We start from the raw sequence: 27,573 nt of genomic DNA on the forward strand, positions 1-27,573 counted from the left end.
TTTTAAAGTAATTTAAACTATTTGCATTTTAGTATTTAACTAAGATTAAGATAATATACCTGCCAGCAGAAAGGTTTTCAGTCACCAATAATTGAAAACCCATGTATCTATAATATAGCTATTAAATCTGAATATTTTAAAACAAAAAAAGGGACGACAGACATGTATAATGGTAATTTTTAAAAACAAATTATGGTCTTTGGTGCATATTAGATAAAAGTACCTTGTTCTCCTATGTCATAGTTACCTAAGTACGTCAACATATTTCTTTGATATCCTTCCCAGATAAAAGTGGCTTCTTAGACACGGAGATAAAGAATCAGTTTTTTTCAAGGACATTTTATTACATGACACTGTGCTAAACAGAACTACTGATTAGACAGATCATTTGCTAAGTGGAAGAAACTCTCTTTCATTTAATTATCCACTCAATCACTTATTTACTGTTCTCTTCCTCCTTTAGAATTTCAGTATTCTCAGTCCTCAGTTAATCTGGGAATTCACCTATTTTTTTTTTTCACTCCTCTATATTTCCTTTCATAGAACTTAGCAGATAGAAGTCCCAAAGGACTAAAGATTCTACTTGTCCTAATGTCTTCCCCAGGGATTCCTGAAGCAAATCAATTCCCCATCTATAAGATGGAAAATTAGTATATTCATGGAGGTTATATATGTTGGTAAAGAACTGTTCTAAAAGAGTTTCATGACCCATTGATAGAAAACTGAAGTAAAAAAAAATAAGTAGCACTTATTCTGGTTAGCTATAATGTTGTAAAACTTTGAACAATGCTAAAGCTAAAAAGTCTATTAGATGATAAATGTAGAAAACAAATATAAAAAAATTTAAATGTCTTTTTAAGGTGGAAATCATAACCATTAAAAACACTTGTTTGGAAAAAAAAAAAAGAGAGAGAGAGAGAGAGCAAGCAAAGAAAGAAAGAAAAAAAGAAAGTAGAGGCTCTGGCCCAGCAGCTAGCCCAGGACCTGTCATGAATTAGGTGGGAATAACTGTAGGATCGAACAGAATTCCTAGGTAATGGCTTGAATTTTATTTTCAAAAATAGGTACTGGAATTCATTTTTCAAATAATAAGTCTTCTATTTTTTCTCCTAAAAAATGTGTGTATATTGGTGGGACAGGGGGAGAGGAGAGTTTGCTTTCTTTATGATAGGACCAATGTCTTATTTATCTTCAGACTCTCTCCACCGTGCTCCCAACACATGATGGTTATTCATTCAACAAATAATACAGCCCCTACCACCTTCCAGGTATTATGGCAGACCAGATGCTAAAGATAAAACCTAGTTCTATTACTACCATTACAGCCATTTTTAAAGTAACTACAGTGCACTAGTACAAACTTACTCTACAGAACCAACATTACTGTTTGATGCACACTGAAAACACATCGGATGTTTTTAGTTCATTCTCTATGGGCTGTTTGCCAATTGGGCCTTGGACCCCAAAATCTAGTAATCAGATTATTTGGTGATATATCCAATATGGGACACAGCAGGAAAAGCCTCAATAACAGGACTGAGGCCCTATCACTTTCCATTCTTCTTCCTCTGCTCAATCAGATTTCAAAGCAGCACAGGTACGGAAAAAAAAGTTTTTAAAAAGTTGGTGTTATTATCCTAGAGAAAACTGCAAGCTAATTATGTCCATCAGTACCAAGCTTCTTTGACCCTCCCTGCAAGAAGTAAGTCAATACCTACATTTTACATATTTTTCTTCTTTCCCACTCCCAATTAAGAAAACATACTTAAAGCAAAATCATGAAAAGGAACAAACACTTTAATTTTCTATACAAGTCCAATTTTTAGATTTAATTATATGAACAACCTACAGTAATTATATTTTTTAATTATGCTAATTTGTAATAATTACATTTAAGTCTCTTTGCTAAAACGTTACTGTGAAATTACATAACTCATCATTTCAAATTGTTTATTACCATCAACGGAGTGTTTATAGTTCTCTAGTCAAAAACCATTCAAAACTACTGTCACTCGTAAATTACCTCACTTTTTTATGCTGAGTCTTTCAAATGCAGAAATGTTCTTAAAAGCAGAACTTTATTATCAAGTTGGACTTAAGTAAACGCCTGGAAATGCATGGAGGCTGCAAAGGGGCATTCTGACAATTTCATTGCATAAAAACCGCATTATTCTAAGGAAAAGCCTTATCCCAATTATTTTTTGAGGCTTTATATGGTAACATCATTTTTAGTAGAGCACAATAAAAGACAGTGGATATTGGAAAATACTTAATGAATAGATTATATTTATTTTTAAACCATATATGTACTAACTTCCCATTTTTTCAAATATCTTCCCTTAAATTAATGCTGAACAAATAAATAAGTCCCATAAAATGTTAACCAGAGAGATGTGAGGGCTGAGTGAAAGTTTTAAGGTAATATTGACTATCCATTCTAGATTCAATTCTTTGATTTAAAAATTACTTCGTCAATGTGTATACAAGGACGTAAGGGCAAAGCTAGTCATGTTATCCCCATTTTATAGCTAAGTAAACTGAGTCTGAGAAAAATTTCAGTAACTTGGCCCAGATAGCATACCTGGGTATGTGGAAGCTGACTTCAAAGTTCTTAACTAAACCAAGCTATTCTGGTTCCTATATGATAACATGGTAAGAATTTGGAAGGGAAAAAAAAAAATCAAGCAGAGGTTTTGATGGTAATAACGTGACTAGTAAAATCTTAACAGAAATAACCAAATTAAGGAGACTTATACTAAGCAGACCACTTAAGCAAAATGATGACATGATATCTTCTTAACTTAGTGAAGCTCAAAACAAACAGATTTTTGATACATCAAATGGATTACTCAGAGAAGCATCTGAATCACACCACTAGATCCATAACATGGTTGGTAAAAATAATAAATTCTATATTCTGGAGGTCAGCAAACTGGTTTTGTGTGTCCTGAAAGCTAAGAATATCTTCACATGTTTAAATGGCTAAAAAGAAAAAAGATAATTATTCATGACATGTCAAAATTATAAGAAATTAAAATTGTAGTGTCTATAAACTAAGTTTTATTGGAACACAGCCGTACTCATTCATTTGTGTACAATTTATTGCTGCTTTTGTACTACAACAGCAGAGTTGAACTGTCAAGACAGAGACAATCTGATCCATAAAGCATAAAATATTTACCATGTGGCCCTTTACAAAAAAAGATTTGCTAACCCCTAATCTAACACATACATTAAATTGAATCCGTTGTTTTCATTACATGGAATTGAAAATAAACAGCATTTCGCTATTTTATTGAGAAGAATTACTATGAATCAAGAAACTATGATGTCAACCATCAAATGGAATGTACATTGTTTCATTAAATTTGCCATATTCTGGGTAAGTAGAAACTTCCTTTAGACAATTTGGATTCAGGCTCTGTTTACTATAACAAGCTGTGTGGAATTATTCCTAGGTCGGCCCCAGAACTCTTGCACAAAGAACCCAACTTAGAAGGCAGAAAGGCTAAAAACAAAAACAAGCAGCAGCATGCAGTTTTATATGCCAATGCCAAGAAGGAGTTAAGATCTAAAGAAAAGAGGTTTAACAAAACAGAGACTTCCATATAGACTGCAACATAGCTACAATAAAGAAAGTGGTTTGAGCGTGTTACTCCTGCACATCATTAAAATTTCATTCTACACATAATGTAAGGTTTGTTTCCTCTAGTTAAACTGTTAAGTCAGTCTGCAAAGCTCATCTACTAGAGATGCACTCCTAACCAAAACAAAAATGTTAGCTAATTTGCTTCTGGCAAGAAATGTGCCTAGGTCCCAAGGAATACTCAAGAGCTATAAAGTTATTCAAATGATACTGCTTTTATCCCACATCTGGAAAAGCCGATAACAGCTAATTTCACAAAGCCTTACCTCAGAAAAGTTCATCCACAATTTGTAACAAAAGATCAAAACATTAACCCTCATTTAGAAGTCAATGAAAACAAGTATAAGTTTTCCCTGTCTCACTCAAGAAGGCAGACATGCTCTAAGAGGGAAAAACAGAAACACAATAGCAATAGACCTGGAGGAAAAAAAAAATCCATGGGTAATAATGAAATACAAAAAAAATTCAAAATATATTGCAGCGAAACGTTAGACATCGACAAAGCTGATAGAGCATAAATCCATATAAATTTCTACATCATTATAAAGCCACATCCATTATTACCACTAAACTAGCAGTCACTGATAGAAGAAGTTGTTTCCATTTTACTGTCAGAAAGCAGCTCCAACTGAAATCATTTTGCTAAAGAATTAACCAAATTAGCAGAAAGAAAAGACAAGGAAGTTCTGCTTTCTCGAAGGTTAATTTAAAAAAAAATTAAAAGTTTTATTGATACCTAATAGTTGTACATATTTAGGAGTACATGTGAAATTTTGATACAAGCATACAATGTTAATTATCAAATGAGGGTAATTAGGATATCCATCATCTCAGGTATTTATCATTTTTTGTGCTAGGAATATTCCAATTCCACTGTTTTAGTTATGTTGAAATATACAATAAATTATTATTAACTACAGTCACCTTATCATGCTACTGAACATTAGATCTTATCCTTTCTTCCTATTTTTTTAACCACTAGCCAACTCTTCTTTATCTTTCCCCACCCCCACCCACCCCTTACCCACTATCTTTCCCAGCCTCTTCTAACCATTATTCTACTCTCTATCTCCACGAGATCAATTTATTTTTTAGATTTTTTTAGCTCCCAAATATGAGAACATGCAAAATTTGTCTTTCTGTGTCTGGCTTATTTCACTTAACATAATGTCTTCCAGTGCCATCTGGGTTGTTGCAAATGACAAGATTTCATTCTTTTTTATGGCTGAATAATATCCCTGTGGGTACATGTGCACATTTTCTTTATCCATTCATCAGTGGACATTTACGTTGATTCCATATCTTGGCTATTGTGAATAGTGCTGCAATAAACCTGAAAGTACAGGTAGCTCTTAAATATTATGATCTCCTTTCTTTTGGACATACAGCAGTGGAATTGCTGGATCATACAGTAGTTCTATTTTTAGTTTTTGGAGGAACCTCCATACTGTTTTCCATAATAGCTTTGTGAATGTACATTCTCAGTTACACTGTAGGAAGAGTTCCCCTTTCTCCATGTCTTCGGCAGCATCCATTATTGCCTGTCTTTTTTGTAAAAGTCATTTTTGTCAGGCCTCTGAGCCCAAGCCAAGCCATCGCATCCCCTGTGACTTGCACGTATATGCCCAGATGGCCTGAAGTAACTGAAGAATCATAAAAGAAGTGAATATGCCCTGCCCCACCTTAACTGATGACATTCCACCACAAAAGAAGTGTAAATGGCCGATCCTTGCCTTAAATGATGGCATTACCTTGTGAAAGTCCTTTTCCTGGCTCATCCTGGCTCAAAAAGCACCCCCACTGAACACCTTGCGACCCCCACTCCTGCCCGCCAGAGAACCCCCCTTTGACTGTAATTTTCCTTTACCTACTCAAATCCTATAAAACGGCCCCACCCATATCTCCCTTCGCTAACTCTCTTTTCAGACTCAGCCCGCCTGCACCCAGGTGAAATAAGCAGCCATGTTGCTCACACAAAGCCTGTTTGGTGGTCTCTTCAAACGGACGCACATGAAATTTGGTGCTGTGACTCGGATGGGGGGACCTCCCTTGGGAGATCAATCCCCTGTCCTCCTGTTCTTTGCTCCATGAGAAAGATCCACCTACAACCTCAGGTCCTCAGACTGACCAGCCCAAGGAACATCTCACCAATTTTAAATCAGGTAAGCGGCCTCTTCTTATTCTCTTCTCCAACCTCTCTCATCACTGTCCCTCAACCACTTTCTCCTTTCCACTCTTCAATCTCTCCCTTCTCTTAATTTCAATTCCTTTCATTTTCTGGGAGAGACAAAGGCGACACGTTTTATCCGTGGACCCAAAACTCTGGCGCCGGTCACAGACTGGGAAGGCAGCCTTCCCTTGGTGTTTAATCATTGCAGGGACGCCTCTCTGATTATTCACCCACGTTTCAAAGGTGTCAGACCACCCAGGGATGCCTGCCTTGGTCCTTCACCCTTAGTGGCAAGTCCTGCTTTTCTGGGAAAGGGGCAAGTACCCCAATCCCTTCTCTCCTTGTCTCTACCCCTTCTCTGCTTTTCTGCGGGAGGGGCAAGTACCCCTCAACCCCTTCTCCTTCACTCTTAGCGGCAAGTCCTGCTTTTCTAGAGGGGCAATTACCCCAACCTCGTATCTCTGCGCCCCAATCCCTTATTTCCATGCCCCAACCTCTTATATCTCTGCACCCCAATCCCTTATTTCCATGCCCCGACCTCTTATCTCTGCGCCCCAATCCCTTATCTCTGTGCCCCAATCCCTTATTTCCGTGCCCCAACCCCTTATTTCTGTGCCCCGACCCTTTATTTCCGTGCCCTGACCCCTTATTTCCATGCCCCGACCCCTTATTTCTGCACCCCATCCCTTATTTCTGTGCCCCATCCCTTATTTCCATGCCCCAACCTCTTATCTCTGCACCCCAACCCCTTTTCCTACTTTTCTGGAAGGTAAGAACCCCCGAACCCCTTCCCTCCATTTCTCTACTCCCTCTTTTCTCTAGGCTTGCTTCCTTCACTATGGGCAACCTTCCACCCTCCATTCCTCCTTCTACTCCCTTGGCCTCTGTTCTCAAAAACTTAAAACCTCTTCAACTCACACCTGACCTAAAACCTAAATGCCTTATTTTCTTCTGCAATGCCACTTGACCCCAATACAAACTCGACAGTAGTTCCAAATAGCCAGAAAATGGCACTTTGAATTTTTCCATCCTGCAAGATCTAAATAATTCTTGTCGTAAAATAGGCAAACGGTCTGAGGTGCCTGACGTCCAGGCATTCTTTTACACGTCAGTCCCTTCCTAGTCTCTGTGCCCAGTGCAACTCGTCCCAAATCTTCCTTCTTTCCCTCCCGCCTGTCCCCTCAGTACCAACCCCAAGCATCACTGAGTCTTTCTAATCTTCCTTTTCTACAGACCCATCTGACCTCTCCCTTCCTCCCCAGGCTGCTCCTTGCCAGGCCGAGCTAGGTCCCAATTCTTCCTCAGCATCTGCTCCTCCACCCTATAATCTTTTTATCACCTCCCCTCCTCACACCTGGTCCAGCTTACAGTTTTGTTCCCTGACTAGCCCTCCCCATCCTGCCCAGCAATTTACTCTTAAAAAGGTGGCTGGAGCTAAAGGCATAGTCAAGGTTAATGCTCCTTTTTCTTTATCCCAAATCAGACAGCATTTAGGCACTTTTTCAACAAATATAAAAATCCAGCCCAGCTCATGACTTGTTTGGCAGCAACCCTGAGACGCTTTACAGCCCTAGACCCTAAAAGGTCAAAAGGCCGTCTTATTCTCAAAATACATTTTATTACCCAATCTGCTCCCGACATTAAATAAAACTCCAAAAATTAAATTCCAGCCCTCAAACCCCACAACAGGATTTAATTAACCTCGCCTTCAAGGTGAACAATAATAGAAAAAAGTTGCAATTCCTTGCCTCCACTGTGAGACAAACCCCAGCCACATCTCCAGCACACAAGAACTTCCAAACGCCTGAACTGCAGCAGCCAGGCATTCCTCCAGAACCTCCTCCCACAGGAGCTTGCTACATGTGCCAGATATTTGGCCACTGGGCCAAGGAATGCCCGCAGCCCAGGATTCCTCCTAAGCCACGTCCCATCTGTGTGGGACCCCACTGAAAATCGGACTGTTCAACTCACCTGGCAGCCACTCCCAGAGCCCCTGGAACTCTGGCCCAAGGCTCTCTGTCTGACTCCTTCCCAGATCTTCTCGGCTTAGCGGCTGAAGACTGACACTGCCCGATCGCCTTGGAAGCCCCCTAGACCATCACGGACGCCAAGCTTCGGGTAACTCTCACAATGGAAGGTAAGCCCCGTCCCCTTCTTAATCAGTACAGAGGCTACCCACTCCACATTACCTTCTTTTCAAGGGCCTGTTTCCCTTGCCTCCATAACTGTTGTGGGTATTGACAGCCAGGCTTCTAAACCTCTTAAAACTCCCCAACTCTGGTGCCAACTTAGACAGTACTCTTTTAAGCACTCCTTTTTAGTTATCCCCACCTGCCCAGTTCCCTTATTAGGCTGAGACACTTTAACTAAATTATCTGCTTCCCTGACTATTCCTGGACTACAGCTATATCTCATCGCCACCCTTCTTCCCAATCCAAAGCCTCCTTTGCATCCTCCTCTTGTATCCCCCCACCTTAATTCACAAGTATAAGATACCTCTACTCCCTCCTTGGCATGATCATGCACCCCTTACCATCTCATTAAAACCTAATCACCCTTACCCCACTCAACGCCAATATCCCATCCTGCAGCATGCTTTAAAAAGATTAAAGCCTGTTATCACTAGCCTGCTACAGCATGGCCTTTATAAAGCCTATAAACTCTCCTTACAATTCCCCCATTTTACCTGTCCTAAAACCAGACAAGCCTTACAAGTTAGTTCAGGATCTGTGCCTAATCAACCAAATTGTTTTGCCTATCCACCCTGTGGTGCCAAACCCATATACTCTCCTATCCTCAATACCTGCCTCTACAACCCATTATTCTGTTCTAGATCTCAAATATGCTTTCTTTACTATTCCTTTGCACCCTTAATCCCAGCCTCTCTTCACTTTCACTTGGACTGACCCTGACAGCCAACAAGCTCAGCAAATTACCTAGGCTGCACTGCCACAAAGCTTCACAGATAGCCCCCATTACTTCAATCAAGCCCAAATTTCTTCCTCATCTGTTACCTATCTTGGCATAATTCTCATAAAAACACACGTGCTCTCCCTGCCAATTGCATCCGACTGATCTCTCAAACCCCAGCACCTTCTACAAAACAACAACTCCTTTCCTTCCTAGGCATGGTTAGTGTGGTCAGAATTCTTACACAAGAGCCAGGACCACACCCTGTAGCCTTTCTGTCCAAACAACTTGACCTTACTGTTTTTTGTTTTTTGTTTTTTTTTTTTTTTTTTTTTGAGACGGAGTCTCGCTCTGTCGCCCAGGCTGGAGTGCAGTGGCGCGATCTCGGCTCACTGCAAGCTCCGCCTCCCGGGTTCACGCCATTCTCCTGCCTCAGCCTCCCGAGTAGCTGGGACTACAGGCGCCCGCTACCACGCCCGGCTAATTTTTTGTATTTTTAGTAGAGACGGGGTTTCACCTTGTTAGCCAGGATGGTCTCGATCTCCTGACCTCGTGATCCGCCCGCCTCGGCCTCCCAAAGTGCTGGGATTACAGGCGTGAGCCACCGCGCCCGGCCGACCTTACTGTTTTAGCCTAGCCCTCATGTCTGCATGCAGTGGCTGCCACTGCATTAATACTTTTAGAGGCCCTCAAAATCACAAACTATGCTCAACTCACTCTCTACAGTTCTCATAACTTCCAAAATCTATTTTCTTCCTCATACCTGACGCATATACTTTCTGCTTCCTGGCTCCTTCAGCTATACTCACTCTTTGTTGAGTCTCCCACAATTACTGTTGTTCCTGGCCCAGACTTCAATCCAGCCTCCCACATTATTCCTGATACCACACCTGACCCCCATGACTGTATCTCTCTGATCCACCTTACATTCACCCCATTTCCCCAAATTTGCTTCTTTCCTGTTCCTCACCCTGATCATGCTTGATTTATTGATGGCGGTTCCACCAGGCCTAATCACCACACACCAGCAAAGGCAGGTTATGCTATATAGTACAAGCCACTAGCCCGCCTCTTAGAACCTCTCATTTCCTTTCCATCGTGGAAATCTATCCTCAAGGAAATAACTTCTCAGTGTTCCATCTGCTATTCTACTACTCCTCAGGGATTATTCAGGCCCCCTCCCTTCCCTACACATCAAGCTCAAGGATTTGCCCCACCCAGGACTGGCAAATTAGCTTTACTCAACATGCCCTGAGTCAGGTAACTAAAATACCTTTTAATCTAGGTAGATACTTTCACTGGATAGGTAGAGGCCTTTCCTACAGGGTCTGAGATGGCCACCGCAGTCATTTCTTCCGTTCTGTCAGACATAATTCCCCAGTTTAGCCTTCCCACCTCAATACAGTCTGATAACAGGTGAGCCTTTATTAGTCAAATCAGCCAAGCAGTTTTTCAGGCTCTTAGTATTCTGTGAAACCTTTATATCCCTTAAGGTCCTCCATCTTCAAGAAAAGTAGAATGGACTAAAGGTCTTTTAAAAATACACCTCACCAAGCTCAGCCACCAACTTAAAAAGGACTGGACAATACTTTTACCACTTTCCCTTCTCAGAATTCAGGCCTGTCCTCGGAATGCTACAGGGTACAGCCCATTTAAGCTCCTGTATAGATGCTCCTTTTTATTAGGCCCCAGTCTCATTCCAGACACCAGACCAACTTAGACTGTGCCCCAAAAAACTTGTCATCCCTACTATCTTCTGTCTAGTCATACTCCTATTCACCGTTCTCAACTACTCATACACGCCCTGCTCTTGTTTACACTGCCGGTTTACACTGTTTTTCCAAGCCATCACAGCTGATATCTCCTGGTGCTATCCCCAAACTGCCACTCTTAACTCTTGAAGTAAATAAATAATCTTTGAGGGCAGGACTATGCTGAATCTCCTTAGGCACTCTCTAATCAGATATCCTGAGTCGTCCCAATTCTTAGACCTTTTATACCTGTTTTTCTCCTTCTGTTATTCCATTTAATTTCTCAATTCATCCAAAACCGTATCCAGGCCATCACCAATCATTCTATAAGACAAATGTTTCTTCTAATATCCCCACAATATCACCCCTTACCACAAGACCTCCCTTCAGCTTAATCTCTCCCACTCTAGGTTCCCACACCGCCCCTAATCCTGCTTGAAGCAACCCTGAGAAACATCGCCCATTCTCTCTCCATACCACCCCCCAAAAATTTTCGCCACCCCAACACTTCAACACTATTTTGTTTTATTTTTCTTATTAATATAAGAAGGCAGAAATGTCAGGCCTCTGAGCCCAAGCCAAGCCATCGCATCCCCTGTGACTTGCACGTATATGCCCAGATGGCCTGAAGTAACTGAAGAATCATAAAAGAAGTGAATATGCCCTGCCCCACCTTAACTGATGACATTCCACCACAAAAAAAGTGTAAATGGCCGATCCTTGCCTTAAGTGATGACATTACCTTGTGAAAGTCCTTTTCCTGGCTCATCCTGGCTCAAAAAGCACCCCCACTGAACACCTTGCGACCCCCACTCCTGCCCGCCAGAGAACCCCCCTTTGACTGTAATTTTCCTTTACCTACCCAAATCCTATAAAATGGCCCCACCCCTATCTCCCTTCGCTGACTCTCTTTTCGGACTCACCCCGCCTGCACCCAGGTGAAATAAACAGCCATGTTGCTCACACAAAGCCTGTTTGGTGGTCTCTTCACATGGACACGCATGAAAATTTTCACTAGGTGAGATGATATCTCATTATAGTTTTGATTTGTATTTCTCTGATAATTAGTGATGTTGAACATTTTTTCATATACCTCTGGGACATTTGCATGTCTTCTTTTTGAGAAAAGTCTATTCAGATCTTTTGTACATTTTAAATCTGATTATCTGTAACAGAATTATAGCAAGGAGTATACTCCAAAAAAATTCAATCTTTATCATTAAAGAAACATCTAATGGTCATCTCATAGTAATTTCTCAATTGCACAATGCCATTCTATTTTAGGGGGAAAAAATCTTCCTTTTGCCTTGGTTTCCACCTCTATGAAATGTATAGATCCGAGTCTATCTCCTAAATGTAAGATATTTAGTGCATAATATGTATACAGTGTTTAACATAAGTGAATCTCTCTCCTGCTCCCCTCCCCCTTGTTTACTTTACCCCCTGCCCCCAGACAGGTTTACTATAAGAGTATTGGCTATGAAATGCCTCTCATATGATTTAATGTGCATAGAAGTCTCTTGGAGAGCGTGCTTATAGGCAGATTCTAATTCAGTAGGCTTGGGGGTGGGACTAGAGAATCAGAATTTCTAACAATCTTTAGTAAAGCTGATCTTGCCTGTCCGTAGACTTTCAGTAGCAAGGCTCTATAATTAACTATGAATGGAGAACGGATGCAATTAGAAGGAATATTTTCATTGCAAGTAACAGAGACTTCACTGAGAGTTAACTCAGAAAATTTAAGAAAATATATGACTTGGAATAGACCTAACTCCGAAACCAAGTATCTGGAAGTCTCTCTCCTCCACTTGGCACCTGTTCACCCTTCTCTTCTGCCCAGATTCCTCACCATCTATTCCAGTAGGTAAGCATCAGACTCAGGGGTTGTGCAGGAGGGTGTTCCTTGTTTTTTTAAAAAAAAGCTCACTGGGAGTTCTACTGTACTGCCTCAGTAGAGAGCTCCATTTCCACACTCCAATCTTCCAACCCCAGTAACTTACACATGCAAAAGACATTGGCTTGTACTTTCCCAGTCTCAGACTCAAAATATCATTTTGTCCCTTTGATCTGCAGTTAATGGCTTACTCTACATTTCCTAATCCCTTAAAAATTATCACCCAACATTTAAAAGAAATAAAGTTGAAAAAAATATAGATAATACAGTAAACTGAGTGTTTGCTTATATCATTTGATTCTCACAGCAATCACCCAAGATAAATATTTTTATGATTGCCCATTTCATTGATGAAAAGACTAAAACTGAGGGAGGATAAGGATCTTGTGCAAGGTCACATGGCTAGTAAGAGCTAAGGTCCATCTCAATATAAGGTCCATGCTTTTAACCATTACCGCCAACACAACTCTCATATAGGCACTGGTGAATTTGAACTCATAGGCAATGTCTAAAAGTATTTGTTTTCTTGAAGCTCTGCCAGCAACAAATATTAAACTTCTGGATTCTTGACAATCTGATATCTCATTACAGTTTAATTTTTTTGAGAATTAAGTATATTTTCATATGATAAAGGGCCATTTGTATTTAGTTTTCTTTTAACTGTCTGTTCATATCCTTTGCTCTTTATTTAGTTATTACATCTTCCTAATTTTTTGAAGTTCTTTACAAATAAATACTTTTAGTCCTTTAGCTATGATAGGCTGCATGTTTTTTCCAAAATTTGTCAGAGTATTTTAATCCTGCTTATGAGGTTTTCTGCCATGTCAGTGTATTAAGATTTTTTAATTGTTTCTCAGTTTTGAATCATATACAGGAGAGTTTCCTCCACTCCTAAGTGCTTGCATGATTTTATTTTTTATATTTAGAAGTTACCCGGAATTTGGAATTTGTTCTAGTATATCATGTGAGGAACACATCTAGTTTTATCTTTCTCCATATGGCTATCTGGTTGTTCCAACACTATTTATTAAAAAGTCCATCTTTTTCTCACTGATCTGACTGAGATGCTATCATTTTCATATACTAAATTTTTGGCCAAGGAAACGAAAAAAGTAACAGAGACATTATCCAATAGCCAAAAACTAAAAACAATCCACATGTCTTTCAAAGGTTGAATAAAGAGTTCAAGGTTGAAAAATAAATAGCAAAAATAGCTAGAAAAAGTGCAGTAACTGGATGAGGAGGGAGGTTGTCTAGCCCTAACAGATATTAAATGTTATAAAGTCTCCACAATTAAAAATTGTGGCAAAGTTACAAATATGTTTACTGTTGATTCAGAAATCCCATCTGTAGTATTTCCCAAAATACACTTTGTAAAATAGAAAATAACCCAAGCATGAGGATATCATGCCATCAATTGTAAAAGCAAATAAACTGTGATTCATCCATTCAAGGCAATGAGGAAAAGCTCTAGATCTCTCATACAGAGTGATCTCAAGGAAAACAACTAAATGAAAAAGCATGGTGCAAATAATGTTTCAATATAATACCTTCCTTATGAGTGGGAGGGAGAGATAAAATTAAAATGGGAAAAACAACAACAAAAAAAGGATTGCCAAAAGAAGCAATAGAAAGATTGACCAAAAGTGGTTAATATGATTACTTACAGAAGCAGAGAAAGAACAAGGTAAAGGAAACAGGGCTGAAAGATTTTTGTGAATATATCTTATTATATATTGTTTTGACTCTGAAAACAAACATTTTTCCTTAATTTTTATCTTTACATTCTTTAACTTTTTTTAATTAAAATTTTTACTGAGATAATTGCAGAATAATATGCAGTTGTAAGAAATAACACAAAGACATTCAATGTCAGCATGCCCCAATGTTAATGTTTTGCAATACTACAGTATAATATTACAACCAGTATATTGACTTTGATACAATCCATCTAACTAATTCAAGTTTGCCCACGTCCCCTCCAGGCCAGCCAAGGTCAAGTGGGAGCGTAGAATTCTGCTCTGGAGAGAATTTCAAAAGGTGCCTAACATTAATACCAGGGTGGTGTAAGAACGCCAAGTAGCAAGCTACAACTATGGTGCACACTGGGTAACAAGATCCTACCACCTCCTGTGTCCATGGAGACAACATGGGGAGCTTAACTTCAGGTCCCATACAGCAAGGCAGCACCCTTCCATTTCCACTGAAGTGGTGACAGAGTAGGCCTAGTGGAGAGTAGCGACTTTCATCATCACCCAGTGGGAATACCATGGCATCTGTAGATAGGAGACAGGCAGAAATCCCACCCCAACCCAGGAGTGATAAAGAGCCCCATCCCCATGCCAACTAGGGCTGAGTGAGGAACCTGCACTTCTACCTCCATTTGGACTTAAGAAGGCAGTGTTCTCCTTTCTCATGGAAAATGCTGCTGGAGCAGTATCCAAAACTACCAGTTAAAACACAAAGTTTAAACAACATCCCAAGTCTCATAACATAATACAAAAATAGCTAGGTTTCAGCAGAAAGTCACTTATCATAACCAAAACCAAGAAGATCTCAAACTAAATGAAAAGAGATAATCAACAGAAATGACAGAAATGTTAGATTTATCTGACAAAGATTTTAAGGTGGCCATAATAAAAAATAAACAATCATAAATATGCTTAAAATAAATGAATATAAAATAGAAAGCCTCAGCAAAGGAAAAGAACATCTCAGCAAGGCAACAGAATTTATGAAGAAAAAAAAATAAGAAATTTTAGAAATGCAGTATACAATAATCAAAATAAAAATGCATTGGTTGGACTCAGTGGCAGAATAGATGGGACAGGGGAAAAGATCACTGAAATGGAAAACAGGACAGAAGAAAATCCCAGCACATTAAAACTTGTGGAACACAGCTAAAACATTACTGAAAGGAAAATTTGTAGCATTAAATGCATAGATTAGAAAAAAAAATGTCTACAATAACCTAATCTCTCACGTTAAGAACCCAGAAAAAGAATAAATTCAAAGCAAGCAAAAGGAAGGAAATAATAAACATAAGAACGTAAATCAATGAAATTAAAAATAGGAAAACAACAAAGGAAAATCAAACAAAAGCTGGATCTTGGGGAGAAAAACAACTGGTAAACCTCCAGCAACAGTAACAAAAAAAGAGACAATAATAAGAAGACACAAAACACCAATGTCAAGAATGAGATGGGTGCTATCACTATAAATCTTATAGCCAGTAAAATATGAGAGACTACTATGAACAACTTGATGCTCAAAAATATGACAGCTTACAGAAAAATGTACCAATTCCTGAAGAAACACAATCTTCTGCAGATCACTCAATATAAAAATGATCATTTCAATAGCCCTCTCACTACTAAGGAAATTGAAATTTAAAATTGTGATTTAAAAATATCCAAAAAAGAAAATCTCCAGCCCTAGATGGTTTCAAAGAAAATTCTAGTAAATATTTAAAGAATTAGCTATAATTGGCCAGGTGTGGTGGCTCACACATGTAATCCCAGCACTTTGGGAGGTTGGGAGTTTGCGACCAGCCTGACCAACATGGAGAAACACTGTCTCTACTAAAAATAAAAAATTAGCTGGGCCTGGTGGTGCACACATATAATCCCAGCTACTTGGGAGGCTGAGGCAGGAGAATCGTTTGAACCTGGGAGGCGGAGGTTCTGGTGAGCCAAGATCGTGCCATTGCACTCCAGCCTGGGCAACATGAGCGAAATTCCATCTCAAAAAAAAAAAAGAAATGAAAAGAAAAAAGAATTAGCTACAATTCTAAACAATTTTTCCAGGATAAAAGGTAGGAGAGAATACTTCCTAACTCATTTTATGAAGGTGGCATTATCCTGATATCAACATCAGACAAAAACAGTACAAAAAAAAAATACAGACAAGTATCACTCATGTCTATAATTGCAAAACTCCTTAAAAAATATCAACAAAAAGAATTCAGCAACACATAAAAAGAATTCTACACTATGGTGAAGTGGAATTTATTTCAGCAAGGCAGGTTCAATATTCAGTGGTGGTTTGTGTTGTTTACATTTTCTATGACCTTGCTGATTTTTGTCTAGTAGTTCTATCAACACTGGCTTGAGAGGGGAATGCTTAAGTCCCTGCCAATAACTGTGGATGTCTGATTTTCCTTTCAGTTCTATTAATGTTCACTTCATTTTGAGGCACTGTTGTTTGATACATATCCATTTAGGATCATCATGTCTCTGTGGTAGGTTTACCCTGTCATCTTATGTTGCCTCTAATAACTTCTTGTCTAGAACTAGTATCTCTAATAATTTTATTTTCTTTGAAGCCTAAATTATCAGGTGTTGATATAACCATTTCTACTATTTTTTATCATTTACATGGTATAATTATTCTCTTCTACTTTCAACTTACCTGTCATTGAATTTGAAGGGAGTTTCCTGTAAGCAACATATAATGGGTTCCTTTTTTTTTTATCCACTCTATCTCTGTTTTTTGTAAGCTTAGAACTTTCATTTTTAAGATAATTATTGAGATGTTCATATTAAGTCTGTGATGTGTGTTTTCTACTTGTTTCCTCTGGAAATCTCACTTTCACTTAGTTCTCTTTGCCTTCATCACTTTAAAATATCATTGTCTTGAGTATTATATGGCACTACAATTTTTGTTTCAATAAATCAAATATAATTTATAAAAGTCACGGAGACAAGTTTAGCCTATTGTATGTACTCATATTTAAGTTATCTGTTCCTTCCTTCTTCCTGGTTCTCTAAGATTTATTCTATGATTTCCTTTCTTTTTGAAGAACTTTAGCCAACTTTTAAGCAAAAGTCTGTTAGCAACAAGTTCTTTGCCTTCTTTCATCTGAGACTGTTTTTTCCCCTTTTACTTTCCTGGATAATAGCTTTACTGGATACAACACCTGCAGCTGATAGCTCTGTTCTAGCACTTGATAATATTCTAAGCCATGGGTCAAGAAATGCTAGGTCAGGGTGGACTTCTGTTGAGTCTGGGGGAACAGAATGTATCCTACCACTGTGCTGTCCCAAGCTGCCTCACCTTCTTACCACATTTTAGACTTCTCCTTTGGTTATCTCTTATACCATCTTTTCTGGACCTCATGTGTGCGAATGTTTTAAATCATTTTAAAAGCATTATATATTTAAAAGTTTCATCTCTAAATGAACATTCTAAAATACAAAATCAGATACCAAAAATATGATGATGTTATTCTGTTTTTCCTTAAGAAGGAACAGGTCCATTATTGTCAGGGTGTGCTCAGCCTGAGGTCAGTAATAATAGAACCTAGGTATTATCTTCATCATCAAAAAGCACTGTCCTCCACTCTCACCAACCTTCTACTCACCACATTTTAAAGTAATATATAAAATTTATACTACTGGCACTAATAAATTCAAACATGCCATATTTTTCCTTCAACATTAGGATGAAGCAGAGAATCCAAAAGGATTAGAAATGCTCTCCCCTTCACACTTTGAAGGAAACATCGCTGGATCAATTTAGTTCACAAATGTGTTTTACAAGGAGAAATGAGTCTTATATATAGGTAATTATAAGACCAACTCCTCAGATTCCTACTCTTGTGTGCAAAAGCCACACTCAAATCAACTTTTATTTATCCTATGGAAAAAAAGGTAAATGTTAAACTAAATTTAAACTATCTTTTAAAATATATCGTGAAAAATGCATACAAAAAGCTTGTGACATAGTTCAACAGTTACACAGTCTACTTCACTTTTAACTTCCAGCCATCAGCTTCCATCATTTCATGTATTAAGTGTGTTTTAGAACCACTGTAAAAATATAATTTGAAAGGTGTCTTTTAAGAAAACATTCAGAAGTAAAAATAAAACCTCTATGTTATAATATTTATTTTTAGAAGTCTTCATTAATTACAATATCCTTCTATGGTGCCTTAAAGATGGTGTTGTATCTCAAAAGTCACCAATCAAATAATTTATTTAAGCCAAGCTAATTCAAAATAGCAAATGGGCAGCCACTTTTCCAAACATTGTGATGTCCAGTAAGAAGAGCAAGAGAGATGAGATACCTATTTATGTATAAAATGAGGTGTACTATATAACTATTCATTATGCCTTATACCACAATATCATATTAAAAAAAAAAACAGTACAAGTAGGGACCATTATCACTGTTTCAAGGAGAGAAAACTTTGGACACAGAAAGGTTAACTGGCTTGCCCAAGGTGACACGGCAAGTAACAGGCAGAACCGCTATTCAAACCCAGGTAGTCTGTCTCCAAGGTCTCTGGATCTTAACCAAACACCACAATGCAGAGAGACTTCAGCCCTAGGAAATCACCAAAGGAGTGCATGTCTGGCTGCAAGATAAAAAGGCAAAATAAATGTCAAATCTTTAAAACAAGGATTCTATTTTAAGAGAAATAAGGACAAAACAAATGGCATTCCATTCATTGACACTGCAACAAATACAGCATAAAATCAGTTAAATATTCTTATTCTGACACTGCTAAAAAAAAAAAATCAAAGGATGCAAATCTCACTGATCTCAAAAGGTCTGCAAAGAAGTGAAATACTCCTGAATAACATGCAACAATTTTAAAATAAGCAAACAGTAGTTATCAAAATAAACTAAAAGGAAATTTAATTGCTCCCATATATAGCGCATTAGCAAAGGATAATGAATATTTTTCAACAATTTGCATATTTCAATTTGTAACAAATGCAAAAACATTGGATTTCAATGCTGAGGCGTCTTCAATTTTCTATCTCATAGGTTATTCTGAGAACAAACATGAAAAGCAAAAAGTCTCATCATAAAGCAAACAATCTGTGGACTGCAAAATTAAAAGAAGGTTTAAGATAGTTTCAAGTCCAATAACAAAATATCTCTTTTAGCTATTAAACGATCTCATTCTATTTAATAAACAGAATCACTTAATGCTTTCCATCTGCAAATCTCTGGTATAAAACCATGAAACTACAAATAAAGTACTTATAAAATGTCCTCATTATAAAAAAGCAATCAGATCTGTCACCACTCAGAACTTAAAAACAAATAGAAAAACTAGAGGATTTGAGTGGAAACAGGAAGAAAAGTCCAACATCAGAATATTGTTTTATTAAATTTAATGGAGAAATTAAAATTTAGGGGCCCTACTATTAGGCTACTGAAAGAGAAAGAGAAGTTTAGAAGTTGTGCTAGAAGAAGCACTACCATGCAAAACTCAATGACCTACAAGAAAGTCAGCCTCCTTTTCCTTCTTTCTCTTGAACATAATCAACTGGGGTTATTATTATTATTCAACTCCTGTCCTTACTGTAAAAGGGAAACCAAGTCCAACATCACACCATCAAGAAAGGTGTAAGCAACTAGTCCTATAATACACCACTATCTCAAGCAACAAAATGACTGTTCATTACTGGTGCTGTCATTTGGGTGTTTTCGCTCAACTGGAAATGTAACCCTATGTCATTTGTACCATAAAAAAGAAAAACATTCTAGTCTTCAAAAACCATCAGTATCTTCAATTATGGAAATTCCCATCAGAACTTATAATCACACTTGTATTTCAATTGGAGACATGTAAATAAAACTCATTTTTAAAGTAAAAGGACCTGAATTATATCCCCAAATGGGGAAGTACTTCAATAATTCTTCCTGGAGGAGGGAAAGAATTGCTGTTTCACATTAAGTCCCTGGAATTCCTGCCAATAGAATTTCAACCGCCTGAACCTCACTTCTAGCTTTCCATCTCAGCACAGGCCAAAGCCTGTACTTGTGAAAAATTCATCACTCTCCCAATAAAGCAATTTTGCCAAAAACTGTAGATCCCTTTTTACTCTGAGTGCTGTAAGAGGGGACCATACAGAAGAAAGGCATACACTGAGATGGCTACTGCAGCTCCACTCTCAAATATAACAATGAAAGACTGGTTTGTGATAAATTATAATATTCTTGCCATGCTAGAAAACTAATGAAAGTCTGTCTTTAAAAAGGGAAGCACCAATCTAGAGAGAAAAAAACTATATTTCAATACTCCAAAGAGAAGAGTGGATGCTGTCATCCTGGTTATATGAATGCAACATAAATTATGCTATAATATACTCTCACTTTAGGTGTATAGTTATGGTTTATGTACATGTATATATTTCACTCTAAAACCATTCAAAAATATCTAATGATTACCAATTATGTATCAAGCATTGTCAAGATACATGGATGAAAAATCAGTTCTGCCCTTAATGAAATTCTAGTCTCATGGTGAACAAACATTTAAATAAATACTGTAATCCCCTCAAAACCATCAGCAGGTTACTTTCTTTAAAGTATTTTGGCAAAATTACAGTTTTCAAGATCAAGGTCTTAGGTAAAACAGAGAAAAAAAACTGGAGATAGACAAATACAAAAAGTGTGTAAAAAAAAAAAAAACCCACCCATGTGTGCACACACACAATAGTAAGTAAAACTTTTAAAAAGTGTGAGCTTAGAGACCTGGTCTTCTAAGTGACCCTTTTCTTGTATCAACTGTGCAAGAAAAATGTGGTGACATTCAAAAAGCCTAAGTTAATCTTACGCAGCCATCTCTGTCCAGCGGTCATTTGGAGATATAAGCGCATATTTCCCTGGGTCTAGTCTTCCATCTGCATTAAATAATGGTAGAATACAACTAGACCTCCTCTGCCTGTGCTACCAGAGACCTACCAGCATATCTGTGGGAGTGGATGGCAGTAATGTTGTCTGGCTTTACCACTGAAAGGTAACAAAAGTAAACATCACATATGTTAAACTGAGCAGATGTTAAAATGCTGGTTACAAATATAAACTGAAGTAATTCAAAAATGTGTCTGACAAAACTTTAATAGTGGAGAAATCACAGTACAATATGGGAACTGCCATAAGATAGTAAGATCCATGCAAGTATCACCCAAATTCCCCTTTTTCTATGAAATGAAGCAATTTTTATACTGAGAATGAGAGACTGCTGGCTTTTTTTTAAAAAAGACAGCTTAATTATAATGAAATAGTGCATTTCTCTTCACTTTTGTTTCCCTTCCCAGATTATGTGAATACATTTCTCGTCTTTAACTGCAGAACAGCAATATGGCATTCTAACATCTATTTCCTATGAAAAATTGTGAGAAACAATCATCTAGGGAGGAAAAAAGATAGATTCACTATCCATGCACAACTACTACTAACATCTTCATATTTCCTTCCAGCCTTTGTTCTGTCTGTAACATGTTTGTTTTACCTAATTTTGATCACATGAGACACTATTTTCATGGCAACATGACAGGTGATTACAGAATTCAAAACTTTGTCTAATCTAATAGATGGAAATGGTATTTAGTTGTTTGCGCTGTTTTAAGTACTACTAAAATTGACCATTTTTCACCATATTGTTATTGTAAATCAATTCAAGAAAGAATTAATAAATTGATATGTACCATGCTTTATTTATTTATTTTATTTTATTTTTGAGATGGAGTCTCGCTCTGTTGCCCGGGCTGGAGTACAGTGGCACAATCTCAGCTCACTGCAACCTTTGCCTCCCGGGTTCGAGCAATTCTCTTGCCTCAGCCCTCAGCCTCCCAAGTAGCTTGGATTACAAGTGCCCCCGTCCTCCCACCACACCCAGCTTTGTTTTTTTTTGTTTGTTTGTTTTGTTTTGTTTTTTTGTAATTTTAGTAGAGATGGGGTTTCACCATGTTGGCCAGGCTGGTCTCGAACTCCTGACCTCAAGTGATCTGCCCACCTCGGCCTCCGAAAGTGCTGGGGTTACAGACATGAGCCACCACGCCTGGCCTTTATGTTTAAATACTAAGGCTGAAGAAAGAGAAGTGGTTAAGTAACAAAATATTCTTAAAAGGTAAAAGATAAGAGTATATTTCTACTTCTCAATGTTCAACATGTACCCAAAGACGGCACCCTTAAAAAATTCACCTCAATAGCATTAAAGAAGTTTTTTAAAGCACAGTTTAAATTAACAATAAAAGTCTTTGATTAATTGGAACATGACATAACAATTGCTATAAGAATTCAAAAAATATATATCAGATTGGGGTGCCCTGGAAAGGTTTTAGATGAGAAACAGATTTGAGCTGGTTCTTAAGCAAGCCTGCAGCCTGGGTGGAAAAAAAGACGGACATACAGAAACCAGAGAACAACTTAAAAAACAGGTTTGGTTAAAGTAAACTTATAAACTGTTCAGGAAGGTGTGCCCTTTAAGTTAACAAGCAAGACAGACCTGGAAGAGTGGAGATGACAGCTAACATGATGGTAGAAGGTAATATGGTAGAAAGTAAGAAAATAGCAAACTTCAATGGAAAATAACTAAAATTCAAAGCCTAACCTTTGGGAAATTACCCTAAATACAGAGTTGAAGAAATCTGAAATGCTAAATAAGAAAAAGAAGAGCCAGGCAGTTCCAAGATGGCTGAATAGGAACAGCTCCAGTCTACAGCTCCCAGCGTGAGCGACACGGGTAATTTCTGCATTTCCAACTGAGGTACCGGGTTCATCTCACTGAGGTGTGTCAAACAGTGGGTGCAGGACAGCGGGTGCAGCCCACTGAGCGAGATCCGAAGCAGGGTGAGGCAATGCCTCACCCGGGGAGCACAAGGGGTAAGGGAATTCCCTTTCCTAGCCAAGGAAAGCCGTGACAGACAGCACCTGGAAAACTGGGTCACTCCCACCCTAATACTGCACTTTTCCAAGGGTCTTAGCAAACAGCATACCAGGAGATTATATACGGCGCCTGGCTTGGAGGGTCCCACACCCACGGAGCCTTGCTCACTGCTAGCACAGCAGTCTGAGATCAAACTGCAAGGCGGCAGCGAGGCTGGGGGAGGGGCACCTGCCATCGCTGAGGCTCGAGTAGGTAAACAAAGCAGCCTGGAAGCTCGAACTGGGTGGAGCCCACCGCAGCTCAAGGAGGCCTGCCTGCCTCTGTAGACTCCACCTCTGGGGGCAGGGCATAGCTGAACAAAGGCAGCAGAAACCTCTGCACATTTAAATGTCCCTGTCTGACAGCTTTGAAGTGAGTAGTGTTTCTCCCAGCACAGAGTTTGAGAACTGAGAACGGACAGACTGCCTCCTCAAGTGGGTCCCTGACGCCCGAGTAGCCTAATGGGGAGGCACCCCCCAGGAGGGACAGACAGACACCTCACATGTTTGGGTACCCCTCTGAGACAAAGCTTCCAGAGGAATGATCAGGCAGCAACATTTGCTGTTCAGCAATATTCGATGTTCTGCAGCCTCTGCTGCTGATACCCAGGCAAAATGGGTCTGGAGTAGACCTTCCACAAACTCCAACAGACCTGCAGCTGAAGGTCCTGACTGTTAGAAGGAAAACTAACAAACAGAAAGGACATCCACACCAAAACCCCACCTGTACATCACCATCATCAAAGACCAAAGGTAGATAAAACCACAAAGATGGGGAAAAAGCAGAGCAGAAAAGCTGAAAATTCTAAAAATCAGAGCACCTCTCCCCCTCCAAAGGAACGCAGCTCCTCGCCAGCAATGGAACAAAGCTGGATGGAGAATGACTTTGACGAGTTGAGAGAAGAAGGCTTCAGATAATCAAACTTCTCTGAGCTAAAGGCAGAAGTTCGAACCCAACGCAAAGAAGCTAAAAACCTTGAAAAAAGATTAGACGAACGGATAACTAGAATACCCAGTGTAGAGAAGTCCTTAAATGACCTGATGGAACTGAAAACCATGGCATGAGAACTACGTGATGAATGTACAAGCTTCAGTAGCCGATTCAATCAACTGGAAGAAAGGGTATCAGTGATGGAAGATCAAATAAATGAAATGAAGTGAGAAGTTTAGAGAAAAAAGGGTAAAAATAAATGAACAAAGCCTCCAAGAAATATGGGACTATATGAAAAGACCAAACCTATGTCTGATTGGTGCACCTGAAAGTGACGGGGAGAATGGAACCAAGTTGGAAAACACTCTGAAGGATATTATCCGGGAGAACTTCCCCAATCTAGCAAGGCAGGCCAACATTCAAACTCAGGAAATACAGAGAACGCCACAAAGATACTCCTCGAGAAGAGCAACTCCAAGACACATAATTGTCAGATTCACCAAAGTTGAAATGAAGGAAAAAATGTTAAGGGCAGCCAGAGAGAAAGGTCGGGTTACCCACAAAGGGAAGCACATCAGACTAACAGTGGATCTCTCAGCAGAAACTCTACAAGCCAGAAGAGAGTGGGGGCCAATATTCAACATTCTTAAAGAAAACAATTTTCAACCCAGAATTTCATATGCAGCCAAACTAAGCTTCATAAGTGAAGGAGAAATAAAATCCTTTACAGACAAGCAAATGATAAGAGATTTTGTCACCACCAGGCCTGCCCTAAAAGAGCTCCTGAAGGAAGCACTAAACATGGAAAGGAACAAACAGCACCAGCCACTGCAAAAACATGCCAAATTGTAAAGACCACCGAGGCTGGGAAGAAACTGCATCAACTAACAAGCAAAATAGCCAGCTAACATCATAATGACAGGATCAAATTCACACATAACAATATTAACCTTAAATGTAAATGGGCTAAATCCTCCAATTAAATGACACAGACTGGCAAATTGGATTAAGAGTCAAGACCCATCAGTGTGCTGTCTTCAGGAGACACATCTCACGTGCAGAGACACACATAGGCTCAAAATAAAGGGATGGAGGAAGATCTACCAAGCAAATGGAACAAAAAAAGGAAGGGGTTGCAATCCTAGTCTCTGATAAAACAGACTTTAAACCAACAAAGATCAAAAGAGACAAAGAAGGCCATTACATAATGGTAAAGGGATCAATTCAACAAGAAGAGCTAACTATCTTAAATATATATGCACCCAATACAGGAGCACCCAGATTCATAAAGCAAGGCCTTAGAGATCTACAGAGAGACTTAGACTCTCACACAATAATAATGGGAGACTTTAACACCCCACTGTCAACATTAGACAGATCAACGAGACAGAAAGTTAACAAGGATATCCAGGAATTGAACTCAGCTCTGCACCAAGCGGACCTAATAGACATCTACAGAACGCTCCACCCCAAATCAACAGAATATACATTCTTCTCAGCACCATATCTTGCTTATTCCAAAATTGACCACACAGTTGGAAGTAAAGCACTCCTCAGCAAATGTAAAAGAACATAAATTATAACAAACTGTCTCTCAGACCACAGTGCAATCAAACTAGAACTCAGGATTAAGAAACTCACTCAAAACCGCTCAACTACATGGAAACTGAACAACCTGCTCCTGAATGACTACTGGGTACATAACGAAATGAAGGCAGAAATATAGATGTTCTTTGAAACCAATGAAAACAAAGACACAACACACCAGAATCTCTGGGACACATTTAAAGCAGTGGGTAGAGGGAAATTTATAGCACTAAATGCCCACAAGAGAAAGCAGGAAAGATCTAAAATTGAAACCCTAACATCACAATTAAAAGAACTAGAGAAGCAAGAGCAAACACATTCAAAAGCTAGCAGAAGGCAAGAAATAACTAAGATCAGAGCACAACTGAAGGCGACAGAGACACAAAAAACCCTTCCAAAAATCAGTGAATCCAGGAACTGGTTTTTTGAAGAGATCAACAAAATTGATAGACCACTAGCAAGACTAATAAAGAAGAAAAGAGAGAAGAATCAAATAGACGCAATAAAAAATGATAAAGAGGATATCACCACCGATCCCACAGAAATACAAACTACCATCAGAGAATACTATAAACACCTCTATGCAAATAAACTAGAAAATCTACAAGAAATGGATAAATTCCTGGACACATACACTCTCCCAACAATAAACCAGGAAGAAGTTGAATCCCTGAATAGACCAATAACAGGCTCTGAAATTGAGGCAATAATTAATAGCCTACCAACCAATAAAAGTCCAGCACCACAGGGATTCACAGCTGAATTCTAACAGAGGTACAAGGAGGAGCTGGTACCATTCCTTCTGAAACTATTCCAATCAACAGAAAAAGAGGGAATCCTCCCTAACTCATTTTATGAGGCCAGCATCATCCTGATACCAAAGCCTGGCAGAGACACAACAAAAAAAGAGAATTTTAGACGAATATGCCTGATGAATATTGATGCAAAAATCCTCAATAAAATACTGGCAAACTGAATCCAGCAGCACATCAAAAAGCTTATCCACCATGATCAAGTGGGCTTCATCCCTGGGATGCAAGGCTGGTTCAACATATACAAATCAATAAATGTAATCCAGCATATAAACAGAACCAAAGACAAAAACCACATGATTATCTCAACAGATGCAGAAAAGGCCTTTGACAAAATTCAACAGCCCTTCATGCTAAAAACTCTCAATAAATTCGGCATTGATGGGACATATCTCAAAATAATAAGAGCTATTTATGACAAACCCACAGCCAATATTATACTGAATGGGCAAAAACTGGAAGAATTCCCTTTGAAAACTGGCACAAACAGGGATGCCCTCTCTCACCATTCCTATTCAACATAGTGTTGGAAGTTCTGGCCAGGGCAATTAGGCAGGAGGAAGAAAGAAAGGGTACTCAATTAGGAAAAGGGAAGTCAAATTGTCCCTGTTTGCAGATGACATGATTGTATATCCAGAAAACCCCATTGTCTCAGCCCCAAATCTCCTTAAGCTGATAAGCAACTTCAGCAAAGTCTCAGGATACAAAATCAATGTGCAAAAATCACAAGCATTCTTATAAACCAATAACAGACAAACAGAGAGTCAAATCATGAGTGAACTCCCATTCACAATTGCTTCAAAGAGAATAAAATACCTAGGAATCCAACTTACAAGGGATATGAAGGACCTCTTCAAGGAGAACTACAAACCACTGCTCAACGAAATAAAAGAGAACACAAACAAATGGAAGAAAATTCCATGCTCATGGATAGGAAGAATCAATATCGTGAAAACGGTCATACTGCCCAAGGTAATTTATAGATTCAATGCCCTCCCCATCAAGTTACCAAAGACTTTCTTCACAGAATTGGAAAAAACTACTTTAAAGTTCATATGGAACCAAAAAAGAGCCTGTATTGCCAAGACAATCCTAAGCCAAAAGAACAAAGCTGGAGGCATCATGCTACCTCACTTCAAACCATACTACAAGGCTACAGTCACCAAAACAGCACGGTGCTGGTACCAAAACAGAGATATAGACC

At 38.8% G+C, this 27,573-nt stretch overlaps 1 protein-coding gene across 28 annotated transcripts in view, besides 1 other annotated feature; it reads right to left on the reverse strand.

Annotated features, from left to right (window-relative positions):
- Positions 1-27,573, reverse strand: part of CADPS2 (calcium dependent secretion activator 2) — a 568,050-nt gene that overhangs the window by 493,106 nt on the left and 47,371 nt on the right. The window lies entirely within an intron of this gene.
- Positions 7,421-8,273: an enhancer, noted in NCBI's record as "H3K27ac hESC enhancer chr7:122458991-122459843 (GRCh37/hg19 assembly coordinates)". NCBI's record gives its function as "activates a minimal SCP1, AML or CMV promoter by ChIP-STARR-seq in primed H9 embryonic stem cells {active_cell/tissue: H9 hESC(primed)}" and the evidence as "EXISTENCE:reporter gene assay evidence [ECO:0000049][PMID:30033119]".

This window comes from Homo sapiens, chromosome 7, assembly GCF_000001405.40.
Source record: "Homo sapiens chromosome 7, GRCh38.p14 Primary Assembly".
NCBI lineage: Eukaryota > Metazoa > Chordata > Mammalia > Primates > Hominidae > Homo > Homo sapiens.